Source organism: Homo sapiens, chromosome 8 (genome assembly GCF_000001405.40).
Source record: "Homo sapiens chromosome 8, GRCh38.p14 Primary Assembly".
Classification (NCBI taxonomy): domain Eukaryota; kingdom Metazoa; phylum Chordata; class Mammalia; order Primates; family Hominidae; genus Homo; species Homo sapiens.
This window is the reverse complement of record NC_000008.11, coordinates 80,315,069-80,337,805: the sequence shown is the minus strand read 5'-3', so window position 1 is coordinate 80,337,805 and position 22,737 is coordinate 80,315,069. Positions and strand designations below refer to the sequence as shown.

Genomic DNA, 22,737 nt, shown 5'->3' with positions numbered 1-22,737 from the left:
ACTTTCTACTGAGCAGAAGTTTAAGCTGATTTTACTTTTTACGTATTTTCCCTTTTCTTTCCTTCCTTTTTTTCTTCTTTCTTTTACCAACTATTATTGATTTTTCCTAATTTTATTTATTTTTTAAATTGACAATAATTATACATATTTATGAGGTACATAGTGATGTTTTGATACATGTAATGTATAGTGGTCAGACCCAGTTTAAACTTTTTTTTTTTTTTTTTTTTTTGGACACAGAGTTTGTGGCTCTGTCGCCCAGGCTGGAGGGCAGTGGCATGATTTCAGCTCACTGTAACCTCCATCTCCTGGGCTCAAGCCATCCTCCCACCTCAGCCTTGCAAGTAGTTGGGACTACAGGCGTGTGCTACCAAATCTGTTTATTTATTGTATTTTTCGTAGAGATAGGGTTTTGCCATGTTGCCGAGGCTGGTCTCAAGCTTCTGAGCTCAAACAATCCACCCACTTCGACCTCCCAAAGTGCTGGGATTACAGGCGTGAGCCACCGCGCCCGGTCCACGTTTTCTATTAGTGAGTTTTCTTAGCTCTTCATGTACATGCAGCTGGAAGCAAATATTAATTTTCTGGGCCACTCTCCTTTCTCACACAAGTAGACTCTAAAAGGCTTCATTTTCAACTGTTTGACCTTTTAAAGATTTAGAAACATAATTGTAAAAGACTCGATAATATTCCAAAGGTTTCTCCCAGAAGATTAAACCTGGGTTGTTTTGGACATAGTGTGTACTATCATTTAAGTTTAAAGAAAAAAAAAAATTCTGTGAAAACTCTCGAAGTGTGGAGAGATATGTGTGAAGGTCCTGCTATCAACACAGGATCATCAGACATGCCTTTGGGAAGGACAGCTGGGAAAGCTCTGCCTTTGGGTGGAGTATAGAACCTTATGCCTTTTATTTTACAGATAATGTCCATATCTCCAGAATAAGGGTGTTCTGGACTGGCTGAGTTACCACAGATAATAATTATATATCTTCAGAGCTTCTGTCCCTTAAATCTTGGATGGTGTAGACAATAAAGAAACAAGACTCCTTCAGCAAGGATTTATAGCTCTGTCAATCCACAGCTATGCCTGATTTAGCTTTTAGCTTCATGTTGGTTTCAACTCATTATCTGAGACAAAAATTAAAATTGATTCTAGATCAATGGTTTTCAGTGGAGGCAGGCAATTTTGCCCTTTAAGGGGCATTTGGCAATACTTCCAGAACTTTGGGTTGTCACAACTGGGGGTTTGGAACACAGTGTGCTACTAGTACCTAGTGATAGAGATGTGAGATGCTGCTAAGCATTGGACAATGCACCTGAGTGTTAGCCTCAACAAACAATTATTGGTCCAAAATGTCAAATGTAACAAGGTTGTAAAACACTGATTTTGATAGTTTTGTTGCAGTTGGAAAATAGTGCAGGCATCTCAAAGTACTCAAGTGACATATATTTATTTTTATGTATTTTTAGTAGAGACAGGATTTCACCATGTTGGCCAGGCTGGTCTCGAACTCCTGACCTCAGATGATCAGCCTGCCTCGGCCTCCCAAAGTGCTGGGATTACAGGCATGAGCCACTGCGCTCGGCCCCGGTCTGCTATTTTCAATCTTCTTACTGGAGTGTTTCAGTGAACTCAGGGGAAATGGATGATCTCTGTCTATTTCCTGTTTTTCAACTGCCAGTACAAGGTGGCCCCCACTGTGGAATTCTTTGGAAAACAGGTCCAGAACTCTAGTGAGTAGGCAATCAGGATAAATACTGAAAAAGAGAATATGCCAAACTTTATAATATTTAGATGAGTAAGATGGCGTGGTGGGCAGAATAATAGGCTGACAGTAATGTCCACATTCTAATTCCTGGAACCTGCGAATATGTTACATTACATGGCAAAGGGGAATCAGGGTAACAGATGGAATTTAGGTTGCTAATTAGCTGATCTTGTGGTGGAGAGAGTAGCCTGGATTATCCAGGTGGGCCCAATGTAATCACAAGTGTGATTACACAGGTACTTAAATATGGAAGAGGGAGACAGAAGAATCAGTGAGTGATGGGGGGAAAGACTAGAGCATTCCTTGCTGACTTTCAAGATGGAGGAAGAGACTGTGAGTCAAGCAATGCCGGCCGTCTCTACAGGTTGGAAAATAAAATGGATACTCCCCTAGACGCTCCAGATGGAATGTAGCCCTGCCAAAATTCTTATCTTAGCTCAATGAGCCCCATTTTGGAGCTCTGACCTCCACAACTGTAAGAAAATAAATATATGTTGTTTTAAGCCACTAAGTTTGTGGTAATTTGTTACAGCAGCACTAAGAAATGAATAAAGATAGAGACTTCTCTGTTGCCTAGACAAATCAAGTGACACTTGTATGTAGCAACTTAGTAATATTGCTACTTGCTGTATAATTTTTTATAAAGTTCCTTCCTGATCAGAGTCTTCTCACAAGTAGTTCCTAGGACAAGGGGGAAGAAAATTGGAAACACTTTGAGACAACTAAAGATAGGCAGGGATCTCATCAAGCCTTTAATGACAGAAGAAAAATGGGGTTAAGATGGCCTTATTTGCCAGGTGTTGTTTCTTGAGATTCTCAAATACCTTACATTTGGAAAAGGAATGGGAATAAAAAATCATTTAAAATACCTGTGCTTCCCCAGCAGGCAAACTACTTTATTTCAACAAGGCCATAAGAACTAGGGAGAGGTGTATAAGGACAGGAATAAGATGAAGAGGTGGGGCCGAGTGTGGTGGCTCATACCTGTAATCTCAGTACTTTGGGAGACTGAGGCAGGAGACTTGCTTGAGTCTGGGAGTTCTAGACAAGCCTAGGCAATTTAGTAAGACTTTGTCTCTTAAAAAAAAAAGAAAACCTAAAAATTAGCCAAACATGGTGGTGCATGCCTGTAGTCTCAGCTATTCTGGAGGCTGAGGTGGGAGGATCCCAGGAGGTGGAGGTCGCAGTGAGCTGTGATCATGCCACTGTGCTCCAGCCTGGGCCACAGAGTCAGACCCTGTTTCAAAAAAAGAAAAAAATAATTAAAAGGTGGACCAGCTGGCAATTATTTAGGTGTAACAAAAATGTTACTGAGCATTAAAACATCACTGGAAGTGTGAAGAGAGAAAATTGTATTTACCAGACACGAGCCACTGTGTCCGGGTCACAGACTTCTCCCTCATAGAAGATATGGTTAGAGAACTATTCTGCTGAGCAACTTGAGGTAGGGACCCCCTGCCTTTTAAGGAAAATGGGTGTCACTGAATCCAGGCTAATGTTTTAATGGAAATGCAAGCTTGGGGCCATAGCCGGACTACCTAAAACAGTAAGGGTGAGACTCAGTATACCTTCTAGTGGTCCACCTTTCTACCATCTTCTTACTCTACATTTCTCCAAAGCAAATGGTAAGTAGATATTTGCAGAGTATGCCTTTGAAAGGGTTCTAACCTGTTATCCTATCTCAGCTTGGTCTTGGTGTTTGTGATGTATGTGTAACGAGATTAATCTGCAGCAGGGGTGTCCCATCTTTTGGCTTTCCTGGGCCACATTGGAAGAAGAAGAATTGTTTCGGGCCACACATAAAATACAATAACACTAACAATAGCTGATGAGCTTAAAAAATGCAAAAAAAAAAAATCTCCTACTGTTTTAAGAAAGTTTACAAATTTGTGTTGGGCTGCATTCAAAGCTGTCCTCGGCCACATGCGGCCCATGGGCTGTGGGTTGGACAAGGTGTGATCTACAGTGATGTCCAAGGTCATTTTTCTACACTATCCTGAGGTTTTGAAGTAATCTCTGACTTTTAGGAGCCTAAGGATATTATCTCCTTAGTTTTATTGTAACCAAGTTCTCAGAAGTGACAAGTTGGTTGACATGGCCAGAATAGAGATTTCTGGCACTTCAAATTGCCAGAAATCGTTCTGAATCTCTTATCACTCTAGTGTTTACATAGTATAGTAAAACAACTTATGGAAAATATAAAGAGTAGCTCAAAAAAACAAACAAAAAAACAAAATCTACACTAATTTTGGTGGGGCTTTTTATAATGTGTATATTTTATGAGTTTGGTGTAGAGACATTGAAATTAGAACATAGTATTTTAGATTTAAATATGGCACACACCTGTAGTTTTAGCTACTCAGGAGGCTAAGGTGGGAGAATTGCCTGAGCCCAAGAGTTTGAGTTTCCAATAAGCTGTGATCACCCACTGCACTCCAGCCTGGGTGACAGAGCAAGACTCTGTCTTTAAAAATAAAGGTATAGCTGGACGAGGTGGCTTATGCCTGTAATCCCAGCACTTTGGGAGGCCGAGCCAGGTGGATCACTTGAGGTCAGGAGTTCGAGACCAGCCTGGCCAAAATGATGAAATCCCATCTCTACTAAAAATACAAAAAATTAGCTGGGTGTGGTGGCACACACCTGTAATCCCAGCTACTCAGGAGGCTGAGACAGGAGAATCGCTTGAACCCAGGAGGCGGGGGTTGCAGTGAGCCAAGATCATGTCGCTGCACTCCAGCCTGGGCAACAAGAGAGAAGTGCCATCTCAATAAATAAATTAATTAATTAATTAACAAAAAAATTAAAAATAAGTAAAATGAGAAGACATTGAATTAGTAAAATGCATGCTGTTCAGTTTTTTTGGTGCTTGAATGGGATTGCAAAAGATAATATACATGAGATTACATCCCAAGGGACCATTTTAGCCCCTTTAAAAGACTGAAAATAATACAGAAACAAAGCTAAGCTTTAATTATTCAACAGAAAAGATAATGCTTTTCAGTTATATAACATAAATCAACAGTTTGAAATACAGATGTTTACATTTAGGTAACGCTAACTGGTATAAATTCAAATTCTCCTTCTGATTTCTCTAAGAAAAATGTATTATACAAGGTAGGTGAAGATCAACAAGGAGTAAAATTTTTCAAAGATTCAGTTTCCTTCCCACCAATGGCAGCTCCAGGGGGTTGTTTGGAGGGACTTTAGTTCCCTATAGTTGCCCCTTCCCAAAGCCATGTACCAAAATGAAACAAAACTGCAAGTCAAAACTGTGCTTGCTTGGCCAACGCAGCTACAAGACAAGCTCTCTAGTCCATTTAACTCCATTGCTGTCCCTAACCCCTAACTTTATAGAAATTCAGGAGTCTGCACTGCTTCTTCCTCAAGGACACAGTAAGGGGGGTTTCACAGGCAGGGCCTGTTCTTGCAACACCTCATTAACACCTTGTTATGAAGAATCATCTCTTTGACCTTGATATTTTTTTGAGAAAAGTAAATATTTATTTCCACCTATATTCACATATGCTGCCCAGAAGCCACCCATTTATCTGACATGTTTTATTAAGGATACCAGATGTTCCTGCATAAATTTTAGGTATCACACTTTCTGACAACAGTGTCTAGAGGAAAAACAGACCTTCAAGTAAATGTATACAGAGACTTTGTATGCCTCCCTGAATTAAATTTATTTTCAGAGATATTAGCATACAGAGGCTGACAATTGCCCAGATCTACCTCCTAAAATCTAATTACCATTAATGTATTGACATACCTTCCTTGCCACCTCCCCACCTCCCCAGTCCCCTCCTCCCCGCAAACCCAGGCATTACTGAAAGAAAAAACCTGGGGTTTTACTGTCTCTATATCTGTTAAGTCAGGCTTTTGGATAATAAGTTACTTTGGTTCCCGTATGTCTACACAGGCCAAGGTAATTAGTCATTAGCATTTATGTGCTGCTAATTACCACTAGTGAGAAGTGCCTGGGAAACGCCAACACAGAGTGTTACAGCAATTTGTTTTGTGGGCTGGAGAGGTGGTTTGATTCCATGTCCCATTATATCCTCAGTATATACTAGGCTAAGTGGCGTTGTAGATTTGAAGTGGCATTTAACTTTCAGCAGAGGATATCCTTCCTTTCACTTGGACATTTTCGTGCTAAAACAGCCCACTTGTCAAAACTCTTAGCTATTGTGGTGACAGATGTTACATGATACACAGCTAGGTAGAAAGCTGGCATCTGACAACTTTGAGCTGCACGGGCACACATGTCAATGTGCCGTGAAATGCAGACACTCCCCCTCACAATCTGGATAAACACTTCTTGCTGAGCCTTTACTGTATCAATTTGGAGCAGATGGGTTGCTGCTTTTCTGATGTATTATGACAAGCAGCAGCAACTACTAATCATAGCGCCAAGAACTGTTGGTGTCTAATGCTGTTCTTTTTCTATGTCACCCCTTAAGTCATTGTTCTGCGCCTCAACAGAGATTTAAAAAAAAAAGAAGAAGAAGAAAGATTAGTTGATCATCCTTAGGGATAGTAGAGAGTCTTTGGACCCAAGAGTTTTTCTCCTTTTCTTCTGGTTTGAGAGCTGGGTCTGCATCTTGCCATCTGTACTGAATTCTGGAAATTTTCCTAGGCCTCAAACTCTGAAACCAGGGATCTGGGCAGTGTTTTAAGGAGGCAGGCATGGGGAGAAGAGCTGGTTTAACCAGTGCCCAATAGGATATGAAGCCCCCATCAGTGCAATCAGCCTTATAATATCTTTCACTGTTACCACACGGAACTATGGTGGGTCTCCTCTCTCCCCATGCTGTCATCCCAAGGCTCTGCAGATCCATTTTAGCCTGATTTTATTTACACGAAAACTTCAGGGGGTAAACTGGGGAAGATCTCTCTTGTGAATTACCCGTTGCCCAACCCCGTGTGGCTGTCCTGGGTCATGCATGCCATGCAGACATCCCTGGCACCTCGAATCAAGCATATCAAATCGCTGGAGAGTTTCTTCATCTGATTGGGCAGCAGACGGTGGTTTCAGGAACCAGGGTGCCAGAAAAAGGGATCAAAGTGAGCTTAAAATGTCCCAGTGCACTTCCAAAAGAAATACTGCCTTTCCTTTTCACAAAGTCCACTTTCATAGCAAGGGGGCCTGCCTTCACCCCCAGGCTCACTGTGGCAGCTCATGGTGCTGTCCAGGTTTGTTTACTTTAGAAAGAGAGTGTAAAATTACTTCGTTCCTTTAGTGACAGTTATACTCCTTACAAGCTGGCTGATATATACTGAATTCACTGAGTGTGAAACGGGCCTCTGTGGGTCAATGGGGCAAAGGAAAACCACAGAGTGATTTATTGCCCTGAACGCTCTATTCACAGATAACAGAGAGGAGGGTGCTTGTTCCAGACCCAGGAGGGGTGGCCTTCTGTCTCACGACTAGGTAGTGCGAAACCAAGATGACTTAACCAGTCCTTCTATGACATTTATATTTCTTGTTTATACCTATGAAGCAAATTTCCATCTGGAACTTAAAAATTGTGTCCCGTCAAAAGATGCAAAATATGAGTGTAGTGGTCAGTGATGTGGAATTTGGAGTCAAACATTCATACCCTGGCCGACTCTGTCATTTGCTTGCTGTGTGACCTCGGGAAAATTACTTAGATGTGGCTTCCTCCTCTATAAAGTTAGGATAACAATAGTATCCATTTTGCAGGGTTATTGTGAGGATCAAATGAAATATTGCTTGCAGCCCATACACACAATCTTTCTGTAAGTTTGCTAGCTTGCTGGCCTCATTAACTTTACGGAGAAAAATAACATAAAACAAGAAGGGAAAACTACGAACAATAAGTCACATTTCTTGAGTTCTTACTCTGTCCAACACTTTACATTGTGCCATTTAATCTTCAGAAGAGCCCTGTGAAGTAGGATCGCTTACCACCCCATTTTGCAAAGGAAGTAACAGAAGATTTCGAGAGGTAAGAAGTAACTTACTCCTGTCACATAGTTACTGAGTGGCAGGTCAGTATTTTAAACCTAGTTTTGAACCCAGTGTTCTTCACCACTGTTTGTTGTACTGTCTGAAAACATAATATGGGGCCGGGTGCGGTGGCTCACTCCTGTAATCTCAGCACTTTGGGAGGCCGAGGCAGGTGGATCACCTGAGGTCAGCGTTCAAGACCAGCCTGCCCAACATGGTGAAACCCCGTCTCTACTAAAAACACAAAAATTAGACCGGGTGCGGTGGTTCATGCCTGTAATCCCAGCACTTTGGGAGGCCGAGGCAGGTGGATCACCTGAGGTCAGCAGTTCAAGACAAGCCTGACCACCATGGAGAAACCCTGTCTCTACTAAAAATACAAAATTAACCGGGCATGGTGGCACATGCCTGTAATCCCAGCTACTCGAGAGGCTGAGGCAGGAGAATCACTTGAACCCGGCAAGCGGAGGTTGCGGTGAGCCGAGATCATGCCTTTGCACTCCAGCCTGAGCAACAAGAGTGAAACTCTATCTCAAAAAAAAATACTAAAATTATTCGGCACCTGTAATCCCAGCTAAAAAAAAAAAAGAAAGAAAGAGAGAGAGAGAGAAAGAAAGAGAGAGAGAGAGAGACAGAAAGAAAGAAAGAAAGAAAGAAAGAAAGAAAGAAAGAAAGAAAGAAAGAAAGAAAGAAAGAAAAGAAAGGAAAGAAAGAAGGAAGGAAAGAAAGAAAACATAATATGGTTCAAAATTGGCCAGCATGACACTACGAAGGTCCCATCTCCAACTGCCGAAAGAAAACTAACAGTAGTGTGATGTGGAGTCCAAGCCCTACCGGTAGATGCTGCTTTTATTTATTTATTTTTAAGCTATCTCCCACAGGAAGGAAGGATAGATGCTTCTTAACACATGGGCCTGTTCTGTTGTGGGGCTCTTAATGAGCTAAGAAATGAAAAGGAGGAAAAGGAGAATTTCCTGAAATTACTTGGGAATTTCTACCTAAAGCATGGATGTGCCTCCAGCCATAAGGAAATCCAAATAAAGAAAATAATTTTATACCAAATGCTGAGAGCAGTGTCTAACATGGACTAAATGCTGCACAAATGACAAATATTGTTATGATTTATATGAATAGAGCACAGGGTATGGGAAGAGCCAGTGAAGGCAGAAAGGCATTATGCCCGTTTCCCTTTGAAGATTTCTCCCTAAAGTGAATATAGTATCTTGAGAATTCAGTAAATTCAACCTAACCCAAAAGGGGACTTAGAATTCCTTTGCATTTCTACCTATAGGGTGAAATCTGACATTTACTACCACTTTGTTAATTTCAGTTTGCAGGGACTTTTATCTGTGGATTTTACCTAGAAGCAGGCCACACTGTCCCCAGATAATGCCTTGGGGTGGCCTGCTGGAACAAAGAATTACATAGCAAGGATTATGCCAGAGAAATTAGTCTTTTTCCCTCACTCAGTTATCTTTTTTTCCTTCAATAAATGATGTAACTATTAATATTTAATTTAATTTTTTTTGAGACATGGTCTCTCTTTATCACACAGGTTAGAGGGCAGTGGCACCATCATGGCTCACTGCAACCTCAACCTGCCAGCCTCAAGCGACTCTCCCACCTCAGCCTCCCAAGTAGCTGGGACTACAGACACATGCCATCACGCCCAGCTAATTTTCTTGTATTTTTGTAGAGACAGGAAAATCAGAGCCATGTTGCCCAGGCTGGTCTCTAACTCCTGGGCTCAAGCCACCCACCCACCACAGCCTCCCAAAGTGTTAGGATTATAGGTGTGAGCCACCGTGCCTGGCCAGTGTAACTATCTAGTAAAGCAACCAGGTATAACTATTAAATAATATTAGTAAAGCTGTTGTTTAAATAAATATAGAACTCTATTCTCAATTTCTCATATAATAAGAATTCAGATTAATTTAAACTTGGTTTCTTCTCCAGGCTTAAATCAAACACTTCTTTTTGCTCACCATAAATTTTTGCTTTTTTTGTTTAAGTATAATCGCTAGTTCAGGACTATGTTGTTGGTTTTTTTCTTTTAGAGATGAGGTCTTGCTCTGTCCCTCAGGCTGGAGTGTAGTGGTATGGTCATAGCTCACTGTAGCCTCAACTCCTGGGCTCAAAAGATCCTCTCACCTTAGCCTCCCAAGTAGCTGGGACTAGGGGCACACATCACCATGACCAGCTAATTTTTACCTTTAAATATTAACAAGTCAGCAATTTTATTCTGATAAATAGCCAGTACGACTAAGTAGCTGAGAAAATAGTCCTACAACAGCTTCCTTAAAGGAGGAAAAGGAAATGTTTGATAGTCACATAATAATTTTTTTATGGTCAAAGATTTACGTTGTACTCTGAGTACAAACTTTTTCAATTTCACACATAAAAAGCCTTCCAAGAAAATACATAAACTTCAGAGGCAACATAGTTAAAAATCCTTGACTTTGCTTCCCCCGCTCCACCCCCACCAAGACAGAGTCTTGCTCTGTCGCCCAGGCTGGAGTGCAGTAGTGTGATCTCGGTTCACTGCAACCTCCACCTCCCAGGTTCAAGCAATTCTCCTGCCTCAGCCTCCCAAGTAGCTGGGATTACAGGAGTGTGCCACAACGCCTGGCTAATTTTTTTTTGTATTTTTAGTAGAGATGGTGTTTCACCATGTTGGCCTGGCTGGTCTCAAACTCCTGACCTCATGATCCACCCACCTTGGCCTCCCAAAGTGCTGGGATTATAGGTGTGAACCACTGCACCTGGCCTTACTATTCTTTTAAGACAGCCACCTGTTCACACTTAAGCAAAAGACACGAAGTAGGCTTGTTAAGCGCTCTCTGTTCTTAGAATACCTGAGAGCAGTTTTGTCTTTCCCAGGGTCACCTCTGGTCTTCTAGTTTTCCTGACTCCTCATTCTATTTAGAAAGAGGAGAAAGAGAAGGCAGTTTAAAAACAAAAAATAAAAATAAATACACAAGTAGCTTCTCTATGATGAAAGCAGGTCATATTTTTTCTTTCTTTTCTTTTCTTTTTTTTTTTGGAGCCAGGGTCTTGCTCTGTGGCCCAGGCTGGAGGGCAGTGGCACAATCACTGCTCATTGCAGCTTCAACCTCCTAGGCTCAAACGATCCTCCCACCTCAGCCTCCTGAGTAGCTGGAACTACAGGCAGGCACCACCACTGTTGGCTAATTTTTAAATGTTTTTGTACAGGCAGGGTCTTGCTATGTTTTCCATGCTGGTCTTGAATTCCTGGGCTCAAGCTATATACTCCCAAAGTGCTGGGATTACAGGTGTGAGCCACCATGCCATCTTTTTTTTAATTTTTATTTATTTATTTATTTGTTTGTTTGTTTATTTTTTCAAGACAGAGTTTCACTCTTGTTGCCCAGGCTGGAGTGCAATGGCGCGATCTTGGCTCACTGCAGTCTCCGCCTCCCGGGTTCAAGTGATACTCCTGCCTCAGCGCCCCGAGTAGCTGGGACTACAGGCATGTGCTACCACACCCAGCTAATTTTGTACTTTTAGTAGAGATGGGATTTCACCATGTTGGTCAGGCTGGTCTCAAACTCCTGACCTCAGATGATCCACCCACTTCAGCCTCCCAAACTGCTGAGAATATAGGCGTGAGCCACTGCGCCCGACCCCCATGTTTTATTTTCTGATGAAATGTCTTTCCACCTCACTGTAGATAGCCTTCTACTTTTATATACATCTATTTCTATAAATGTGTTTGAAGATCAAATGTGTGAAAATGGAAAATCGGATGAACATGTTATAGTAGGCTGAGTAATAAATTGTCCCCCAAAAAAGATGTCCACATCTTAATGCTCAGAATCTGCGAATATGTTATCTTAGACTGCCTAGGAAATTTTGCAGGTGTGATTCAATTAAGGCTCTGGAGGTTGGGAGATTTTTCTGTATTATCCACATGTGCCCAGTGTAATCACAAAGGTCCTTATAAGGAAAGAGGAGAGTCCCAGAGAAAATGCAACGACGGAAGCAGAGGTCAGAGAGGAGAAAATATGGTACACTGCTGACTTTGGAGATTGAGAAAGGGGCCATAAGGCAAGAAAAGTCGGTGGCCACTAGAAGCCAGAAAAGGCAAGGAAACAGATTCTTCCTTGAGCCTCCGGAAGGAACGCAGCCCAGCAGACCTATTTCAGACCTCTGATCTCCAGAGCTATAAGCTAATACATCTGTCATATTTTAGCCATTCAGTTCATGGTAAATTGTTATGGCAGCAATAGGAAACTGATACGCATGTTTATGGGGGCCTGGGATCCCAGAGGAATAGTATATATTATAACATTTCTTAATGAAAATTTTCTCTGTTGCTGCTCTTTTTGGGAGCTGAAATGTCCTGAACAGGTAAGAATCTTCACAGGTACCCAGATCCCAGGTAGCAAAGAGGCTGGGAGTGTGTCATGAAAGGGACCGAGTCAGCCTGCCTGCCTGTCACCCCAGGGCTTCAGGAAGTTAAGCTAGGTATTGCCAAACCCACCCCCAGTTCTGCTTCTCTCACGCCCACTGCCTTTCACCTACCCTGTTTAGACCACAGGCAATTCTGATCATCAACCTGCCTCGTGCGGGTACCCTGGGGTGTGGACATCAAAGGAATTTGTCTTTCTTGTCCCCACGCCAAGGGGTGCTCTGGCCTGAAATCCCCCATTGCACATAGCTGCCAGCAGAGCTACACCTGGTTAAGTGCCCAGCAAACTGCCTTTGCTCCGTGCCCATCTTTGAGGACTGTAAGGAGGGGAGAGAAGGGAAGGCAGGACTATGGGGTGATACCGGCCCTGCATGTGTTCCTTGTATGAGTCAGCAAGCTTGAGGGCCCCAGCACACCAGAGGCTTGGAGATGGGGGCAGCATGCAAAACGCTGATGGGCACAGGAGGCACAGGCAGGAACAGAGCACTGCCCTTCAAAGGTTTGTAAACAAAGGTACATACTTGTTTCCAGCCAGGTGCGGTGGCTCATGCCTGTAATCCCAGCACTTTGGGAGGCCAAGATGGGCGGATCACCTGAGGTCAGGAGTACGAGACCAGCCTGGCCAACATGGTGAAACCCCATCTCTACTAAAATACAAAAATTAGTCGGATGTGGTGGTGGGTGCCTGTTGTCCCAGCTACTCGGGAGGCTGAGGCAGGAGAATTGCTTGAGCTGAGGTCACTCCGCTGCACTGCAGCCTGGGTGATGGAGTGAGACTCTGTCTCAAAAACAAAACAAAACAAAACAAAACAAAAAACAGATACATACTTGTTTCCATGCTCACCCTGAATTTCTACTAAAGAGTAATAAAAAGTGATCTAAACAACCAGTTCAGAATGCCTAGGGAACAAAGGCATAATTCAGTTGATGTGGTTTGGAGTTGCCCCAGTCGGCTTCATAGCTAACCAACTTAATAAGTATGGCCTGAACACTTTAAATATAGAGATAAATTTGACAGCATTTTGTAAAGATGTGGTGTTAGGGCATAGGCTGAATGATCTCTACCATGAACTGGCTCAAACCAGAATCAAACTCTTTTTTCCCTAAATTTAGTAATCCAGAAAGTCAGTTTCCCAATTAAAGTCATACTCTATTGGCATAAAGTTTTCATTTGTTTTGTGGTGGCTGACACTGGCATTAAATAGTTAATCCCTTTGTACTGAGCAGAGTGCTTTTATTACATATTTTAGGCTTCTTATATTTTATTCTAAGAAACTCAGCTTTTTTTCCCAGTTGAGAAAAATGAGAATCTCAAATATTGAGGCAAAACCTGGTTTTATGAAAGGTAGAAGATAATAGGAAGAGCCCTGATTTTCTCATGAGAAGACCCCAGTTCTTCTCCCAGCTCTGCAACTTCTTACATAGACACTGCTCAAACCAGCTAACTTTTCTAAGATCCTGTTTCCCCATCCATAAACTGAAATAATCAGAGCCCTACCTCTTTCAGAATAAGTAAGGAGTGAATGAAATATTCCATATGACATGCTCAACATAATGCCTGCCACACAGAAGTATTCAATTAGTACTTAATTCTTGTTATATTTTTATCATTATTTGTATTTAACTATCTTGCTGAGTTGTTTGGAAGCCAAATGAGGTCATTGCCTCCAAACATTTATTAGAGATATTGCTATGTGCTAAGCATTACAATAGGTGCAGGAGAATACAAACGTGAATGCCTGCAAGGAACTTACACAGAAAGGCACTAATTTGATAAAAATACAACTCTATAGCTCTAAATACAGATATCAATGTAAAATACAATTCCATAGCTCTACAGCAATAAGGAACTAATATCAACCTACCATCAGTTCATCAAGCATAATTTGATTAACTACAGTAGGCATCTTCCTAGGCTGCCTCGTGGAGGAGATCTTATGAAAAATTGGAAGCCCATGCTAACATAGTTTATGTGAATATGGTCTTTAAGAGTTATTACGGCCAGGCTGGGCACTGTGGCTCACGCCTGTAATCCTAGCACTTTGGGTGGCCGAGGCAGGCAGATCACTTGAGGCCAGGAGTTTGAGACCAGCCTGGCCAACATGGCGAGACCCCCGTCTCTACTAAAAAATACAAAAATTAGCCCAGTGTGGTGGTGGGCACCTGTAGTCCCAGCTACTCGGAACTGTAGCTGTAGTCCCCACTACTCAGCTAAGGCAGGAGAATTGCTTGAACCTGGGAGGCAGAGGCTGCAGATCATGCCACTGTCCTCCAGCCTGGGCAACAGAGTGAGACCCTGTCTCAATAAATAAATAAATAAATAAATAAATAACCACATAGATTAGCTAATTATTAGGAGTCACAGGAAAAATCAACAGAAATATAAGCCATGACATGTTTATACATACATTTATAACCTAGTTAGCAAAATAATATTTCAGCACATGGGCAGTCCATGAGAAAATTTTTTTTAATATTTAAGCACATGAAACAACTAGACAACATTTCAAGAGAGTGTATAATTGGTGTGGTTTGTGTGTGGCGTCAGAAGAGGGAGGTATCAGTGGGAAGAGATCCACTGATCACCCTGGGTGCTTGGTTCTAAAATGACAGCAAAGCATATAAAGTGAGAATCATGATGCATAACTGACTGACGATGAGTCATTTACTGTGGCCCTCCTAGAAATCCCCAAGCGAGCAAACTTGAAAACCTTTATTTGACCCTGCCTTCCATTCAAGCATTCATCCTAGTTCTCTCCTTTTTAAAAAAAAATAATAATAATATTGGCCGGGCACAGTGGCTCACGCCTGTAATCCCAGCACTTTGGGAGGCCGAGGTCGGCAGATCACCTGAGGTCAGGAGTTCGAGACCAGCCTGGCCAACCTGGTGAAACTCCATCTTCACTAAAAATACAAAAATTAGCCAGGCATGGTGGTGGGCGCCTGTAATCCTAGCTACTCTGGAGGCTGAGGCAGGAGAATTGCTCGAACCCAGGAGGCAGAGGATGCAGTGAACTGAGACCTCGCCATTGCACTCCAGCCTGGGTGACAAGAACTCCACTTCAAATAATCATAATAACTATTTTTTACTATAGGCGAGCACCACTATGCCCAGCTTTATTTTCTTCTCTTTTTTTACTAACAGACTTTTCTTATAAAAGAATGCATGCCCATTATAGAAAATTCAGAAAACTCAGAAAAGTATAAAGAATAAAATCATTGATAATTTAATATTATAGACATATGTGCTACTAATATTTTGTCTTTTCTCTAGAGATTTCTAAAAAATTTACAACTTCCACATAGGTAACTGATATGCCAACTGAAATTTTACCCTGAACTTTAAGATTTAGAAAAGGTTGGCTTGAGGCCTTTCCCATATTTCACTGGGGTTGCAATTCATTCTCTAAGATTTCTTCAAATTCCCAAGGGTTTACAATCTCCTGGTCATTTCTGACCCCCGGTTCTGATTCCACTGAATTTAACTGTGTCTCATCTTTGCAAGTTGCTTTTTTCTCAACCAATCCAAAGGCCGGAGACCATCCTTTTTGTTTGATTTTCCTCCCCTGAAACTGCCACAGAAGACATTTCTGTATTTAGCAGATCTTACTGAATGTCTGGGAAAATGGAGGGGGTTTTTATACTGAATATATGAGACTTGAATATTAACATTCCTTTCCTAAAATCTTTTGATTACCTCACCAAAAAGAGTTTCTTACCACCGCTGTCTACAGGATCCAGCCTTCTAACCTTGCTGTTACTTAGAATTGGTCTGTCAAGTCACCACAAGAGTGAATTGCGATTTTGATTAGTTGTAGTAAACATTTAAATTAATTTGAGTCAATTTTTTTTGTTTTAATAGTTTTTTAAAAAACTTACATCTTTGGGGTAATTTGTCAGTAGAGGATAATATGATTTACAAAGAGTTAATGTTTTGCTCATTTGTTTTGTTTGTTTTCAATAATTATACCTCTTTCTCTTGTACTTATGCATTGAATTAGAAGTTTCAAATCAATGTAAAATAATAGCAGTGATAATGGGCATCTTTGTCTTACTTTCAAAATTTTTATATAACAGCCGCCTCCATGTCCTAATGCTACTTTTGGACTATCTTTAATTGGATGTCTTCCTCTGCCTTCCAACTAGAAATATATATCTTAAATTGCTATTGGATGCTATTTGACAGCTCTTCCTTTCTTTGAACTTTCTCCTCCCTGGGCTTCCATGATGCCACATGGCCACAATTTTATTCTTTTCTCTCTTCATTCACACATCCAACCGTTTTCTTTTCTTTTCTCTCTCTCCTCCTTTCCTTCTTTCTTCCTTCCATTTCTTCCTTCATTTATTCTGTTTATTGAACACATCTTCATTAAACATGTTTCCTCTTTTCTCTAAGCCTTTACATTAAGGTACAGCTCTTTCTCATGTCTACTGTGTATACCTTTCCAGCTCTTGCCTTCTTGCCTAAATTTAAATCTTGTCTGCAACTCTGACTACTCTCTGCTTGGACATTCCATAGGAAATGCTAATTCATGAGTCCAAAATTAAACTCTCCATTGTTCTGCAAGTTAGCTCATCTTCCAATTTCTCATTTCGTGACCCCCAAAAATATTGCATCTTAGAATCACTCTTGACTTATTTTATCTTCTTATATGCTCACTCCTAACTCTACGCCTTGGTGCATGCTGCTGTCCCCAGCCTAGAATATCTTTTTGCTCCCTTCTATTTGTCCAAATTTTACTCATCCTAAAAGGTAGGTTCAGGCTGGGCACAGTGGCTCACCCCTGTAATCCCAGCACTTTGGGAGGCTGAGGCAGGCGGATCACAAGGTCAGGAGTTTGAGACCAGCCTGACCAACATGGTGAAACACCGTCTCTACTAAATATACAAAAATTAGCCAGGCATGATAGTTCCTGCCTGTAATCCCAGCTACTCAGGAGGCTGAGGCAGGAAAATTGCTTGAACCCGGGAGGCCAAGGCTGCAGTGAGCTGAGATCGCACCACTGCACTCCAGCCTGGGTGACAGGGCGAGACTCCATCTCAAAAAAAAAAAAAAAAAAAAAATTGGTAGGTTCTTCCCTCTCCGTGTGGCTGTTCATGACCCCTCCAGCCTGCATGGTTCTCCTCCTTTCTGCATTACCCCAGCACTGGCCTGTGTCATTTGCCATGACCAGGGACACCCCTAGTAACAGATGAAGGCTGAATTTGAAGTCAAGTCTATTTGGCTCCAGAACCTGTGCCCTCAGCTTCAAGGCCTTGTCCAGCTCCCCTGACATATTCACTGCTTCCCATCCTTATGCCCCAAGAGGATTCGGGATAGGAGCCAAGTGCAGGTCCCCTGCAGTATTCTCCTTTCTGAACACCTTTAGAAGAACCACCATATTCAAAGAAATCACAGGGACTGGCTACTGTGACATCAAGGGCAATGCATGACCAGATAAATTCCTCTGGCAGTCACGAAATAAGATGGAGCCAAAGCCACCGGAGAAGAAGCTGTGATGCAAGAGACAGCACATGACGGGAAACAATCCTCTGGCAGTGAGGCCTGAGAGCTGTCTGCACGAGCCAGGAAAAAGTTCCTGTCATGGCAGAATCTAGTGTAACTAACTGTAAAATATGACCCAATGAAGAGGTATGTCAGCAACAGACAGAGGCCTCCTTCATGCTGCCCTTGGAGCAATGAACAAAGCGATAAAATTACACTCCAGTGCAAGGGTGAAAATAATAACTACTTCATAACCTTGTTTTATTTATTTATTTAGATGGAGTCTCGCTCTGTCGCCCAGGCTGGAGTGCAATGGCGCCATCTCAGCTCACTGCAACCTCCACCTCCTGGATTCAAGCGATTCTCCCGCCTCAGCCTCCCGAATAGCTGGGATTACAGGCACGTGCCACCACGCCTGGCTAATTTTTGTATTTTTAGTAGAGACGGGGTTTCACCATATTGGTCAGGCTGGTCTCGAACTCCTGACCTCAGGTGATCCACCCACCTTGGCCTCCCAAAGTGCTGAGATTACAGGCATGAGCCACTGCACCCAGCCCCATAAACTTGTTTTAAATTAACTAATACACACTGTGCACTGAGGACTATCCCTGGAAAATAGCAAGTATCTAATAAATGACAGCTATATTATTAATTAAATTATAGCGCCCAAAGTAGAAGGTTTTTCTTACCATCTCTATATAAAGACAGAAAGTCTAGGGGGAAAAATACAAAATTTTTAAACCTTCAAATAATTTATTTTATTGGTCAAAAGTTAAAAAAAAAATCAGGCGGGGTGCAGTGGCTCATACCTGTAATCCCAGCACTTTGAGAGGCTGAGGCAGGAGGACCACTTGAGGCTGGGAGTTCAAGACCAGCCCCGTCAACATAACAAAATCCCATCTCTAAAAAAAAAAAAAAAAAAAAAATTAATTTTGAAAATTAAAAAAAATCACACTTGCAATTAATGCAACCTAATTAATGAAAAGAGTTATTCAGATCTATTGTTGTAAGTAAATATTAAATATGTTAATAGCTGGAAGTAAAAGATTTCTGAAAATTTAACTATTGCTTCACCGATTATTTATTCTATGCCTATTGTGTGTCAGGCACAATAAGTTCATTGCCCCCATGGGGCATAGAGATTAGCAGCAGGAAAATTGAAGAGTTATACAAATATAACTTATAAAGCTGAGAAGGAGTACAAACTGTGGGTGAGAGTTCACAGAAGTTCTTTGACTAAGTGATATTTAAGATAAAACCTAAAGAATAATTTATCTGGCCAGGTACGGTGGCTCATGCCTATAATCTCAGCAATTTGGGAGGCTGAGGCAGGTGGATCACTTGAGGTCAGGAGTTTGAGACCACCCTGGCCACATGGTGAAACCCCATCCCTACTAAAAATACAAAAATTAGGCCAGGCACAGTGGTTCACACCTGTAATCCCAACACTTTGGGAGGCTGAGGCAGGTGGATCACCTGAGGCCAGGAGTTCAAGTCCAGCCTGGCCAACATAGTGAAACGCCGTCTCTACTAATAATACAAAAATTAACTTGGCATGGTGGCGCATGCTTGTAATCCCAGCTACTCGGGAGGCTGAGGCACGAGAATCGCTTGAACCCAGGAGGTGGAGGTTGCGGTGAGCCGAGATTGCACTCCAGCCTGGGCAACAAGAGCGAAACTCCGTCTCAAAAAAAAAAAATTAGCTGGGCATGGTAGTGTGTGCAGTAGTCCCAGCTACTTAGGCAGCTGAGGCAGAAGACTCGCTTGAACCTAGGAGGCAGAGGTTGCAATGAGTCACGATTGTACCACTGCACTCCAGCCTGAGTGACAGAATGAGACTCTGTCTCAAAAAAAAAAAAAAAGAATAACTTATCTATGTTCAAGTTGGTGAGGTTAAGCTAATATATTCCAGGCAAAATTCCAAGATGGAAGAAGAGTGGCTTCTTATGGAAAGAACTGAGAGGCCAGTTTCTGGAACAGAAAGAATGGGAGGTGGAATGAGATATGTTAAACCTCAACAACTAGGCAGAGGGATGATCACACAGAGTCTCATAGGTCTTAAGGATTTGGGTTTTTATCCTAAAGGCAACAAGAAACCTTTAAAGAGTGTAAGAAGAGGTCGGGGGTGGTGGCTCATGCCTGTAATCCCAGCACTTCTGGAGGCCGAGGCAAGTGGATCACCTGAGGTCAGGAGTTCTAGAACAGCCTGGCCAACTGGTGAAACCCCGTCTCTACCAAAAATACAAAAATTAGCTGGGTATGGTGGTGAGCACCTGTAATCCCAGCTACTTGGGAGGCTGAGGCATGAGAATCACTTGAACCCAGGAGGTGGAGGTTGCAGTGAGCCGAGATCACACCACTGCACTCCAGCCTGGGCCACAAGAGCAAAACTCTGTCTCAAAAAAAAAAAAAAAAAAAAAGAGTATAAGGAGAGAATCAACATAATCAAATGTGCTTTAATGGGAGGGTAAGAAGTTTTCACAGCAGTCTGCTTGAGAGATGATGGTTGTGGTGACGATGATACAGAGAGGCAAATGGGTTGAAGATGTATTTAGGAGATAGAATGGGAAAGACTTGGTGATTAATTAATGGGGAGGGGGCACAGTAAGGAATCGGAAGCCATCAAGTAGTCAAGGAAAAGTCAACAATGACTCCTAGATTTCTGGCTTGAGCAACTGAGGGGATGGTGGTGCCCTTTACTAAAATGGAGGACAGGCTGGAAGCAGTGGCTCACGCCTGTAATCACAGCACTTTGGAAGGCCAAGGCGGGCAGATCACATGAGGTCAGGAGTTTGAGGCCAACCTGGCCAACATGGTGAAACCCCGGCTCTACTAAAAATACAAAAATTAGCCTGGCGTGGTGGCGGGCACTTGTAATCCCAGCTACTCGGGAGACTGAGGCAGGAGAATCACTTGAGCCTGGGAGGCAGAGGTTGCAGTGAGCCGAGATTGCACCACTGCACTACAGCCTGGGCAACAGAGTAAGACTCCGTCTCAAAAAATAAATAAATAAAATAAAATAAAATGTAGGACACTGAAGAAAGTAAGAATTTCCATTTTAGAAAATATTGAGCTTCTTCCCATTTATTTGCTGCTATAGTCTCATAATGATACAAGCAGTTATATGCATGGGATAAAATAATATTGGGACATTGTAAATTGAAATGAAGTAACCATTTTCATCTTTTCTGCATGGACAAGACATTGTTTTTGGTTTAAAAAAAAAGAAGAAGAAAGAAAAAAAAGAAACAAAAAGAAAATCCTGAGCTTTGCATGTCTATTATGACACATGCTGTGAACATGTCCAGTTGACCACTGGATAGACAGTGATGAAGGTCTAAGAAAAGTCTTTGCTGGAGTAATCAATTTAAGAATCACCAGCATGAAGATGGTAATGGGAGTCTCAAGAGTAAATGGGATCACCTAAGAAGCATTTGCAGAGTGACAAGAACAGAGGAACTCAGGATGGAGCCCTTAGGAACCCCAGCATGTAATAAACAGTACAGGAGGAAGAACCATTGGAGGAGACTGAGGAGATAAACCACAGTAGACAGATCACCAGAAGGACACACCACAAAACCAGGGACAGAAGAGAGGTCATGAAGGGGTGATCGGCTGTGTCAAACATTACTAAGACATCGAGATTTAAATCCAGATTGAAGTGTACATTAGATTTAGTAGCATGGAAGTCTTTTTTAATCTTAGTATGAATAAAGTACCCAAATAACTAAGGCAAAGTTCTCTCAGGTAACCTCTTGATCCCAGTCCACTTGTTTTGGGAACCAGGCTATGCTTGTTTCCTAGAGTGGAATTAAAAGTCAGCATGGGTGGCACCTGGGGAGGCCGAGGTAGGCAGATCACCTAAGGGCGGGAGTTCAAGACCAGCCTGACCAACATAGAGAAACCCCGTCTCTACTAAAAATACAAATTGGGTGGGGGCGTGGTGGTGCAAGCCTGTAATCCCAGCTACTCGGGAGCCTGAGGCAGGAGAATTGCTTGAACCTGGGGGGCGGAGGTTGCGGTGAGCCAAGATCGTGCCATTGCACTCCAGCCTGGGCAACAAAAGCGAGCTCTGTCTAAAAAAAAAGTCAGTATGGGTGCTATGACTACAAGAAATCTACCCACATGAAAAAGGCATGTGAGGGGAAATGGAGCATGTGAACGATTTATACAGAGGTATTAACAGGAAGATTTTATATATTATTTTCTTTTATTATGCTTTTTTAAAATACTTTTTAAATTTTGAGGATTTGGAAACTCTTTTTTTCTTTTTTTTGAGATAGCATCTTGCACTGTTGCCCAGGCTGTAGTGCATTGGCACGATGACTGCTCACTGCAGCCTCAATCTTCCAGGCACAAGTGATCCTTCCACCATAGCCTCCCAAGTAGCTAAGACCACAGGCGTGCACCACCATGTCTGACTAATTTTTTGTGTGTGTGTAGAGACAACATCTCCCTATGTTGCCCAGGCTAGTCTCAAACTCCTGGGCTCAAGTGATCCTCCCATCTCAGCCTCCCAAAGTGCTGAGATTACAGACATGAACCACTGCACATAGCCAGAGTTTCTTTAAGAGTATGTAAAAATGTTTATGGATTATACTTTGGGTGGGGGAAGACAATATTCTCAGGAAACAGAAATATGGAGACTGAATTGGAAAGTAAAGGATGCAAAGGATGACAAAATAGGACATTAGGAATAGAGTTCTTTGGACAGGACACATTTGGCCACAAGGGATAGAAAGAGTCAAGGCTGTGCTAGACGGGAACCTGTGGCCAGGGGAAGTTGCGAAAGTGTTTAATGTTGATGCGAAAAGCTGACAGACAGGGCAAGACTGGAGTCACAGAGAGTGCAGAAGACACAGTGAGCACAAAGTTCAGAACCCAGAATGGAGACACACCCCCTCCATCGGTCCAGGGCAAAGGGAAGGCAGTTCAGGTGTGGTAATTTGGGGACAGGAAGTTGACAGTGGCTCAGTTGATCACTAGTTTATGAAGTTGAAGGTGAAATCCCTAGCAAGAATAAGAGGGCATAGCAGGTAGTCAAGGGAATAAAGATGGTGAAGAAGCGTTGGAATGT

General features: G+C 42.2%; 1 non-coding gene across 1 annotated transcript, besides 1 other annotated feature; it reads left to right on the top strand.

Annotated features, from left to right (window-relative positions):
• Positions 14,826-14,975: an enhancer, noted in NCBI's record as "active region_27564". NCBI's record gives its function as "activates an Ori minimal core promoter by ATAC-STARR-seq in GM12878 lymphoblastoid cells {active_cell/tissue: GM12878}" and the evidence as "EXISTENCE:reporter gene assay evidence [ECO:0000049][PMID:35858748]".
• On the top strand, positions 20,737-20,867 carry LOC124900264 (small nucleolar RNA SNORA20). The gene has a single exon (XR_007061202.1). It is a non-coding gene; the product is annotated as a small nucleolar RNA SNORA20 (small nucleolar RNA).
• Positions 20,868-22,737: the final 1,870 nt, after the last annotated feature.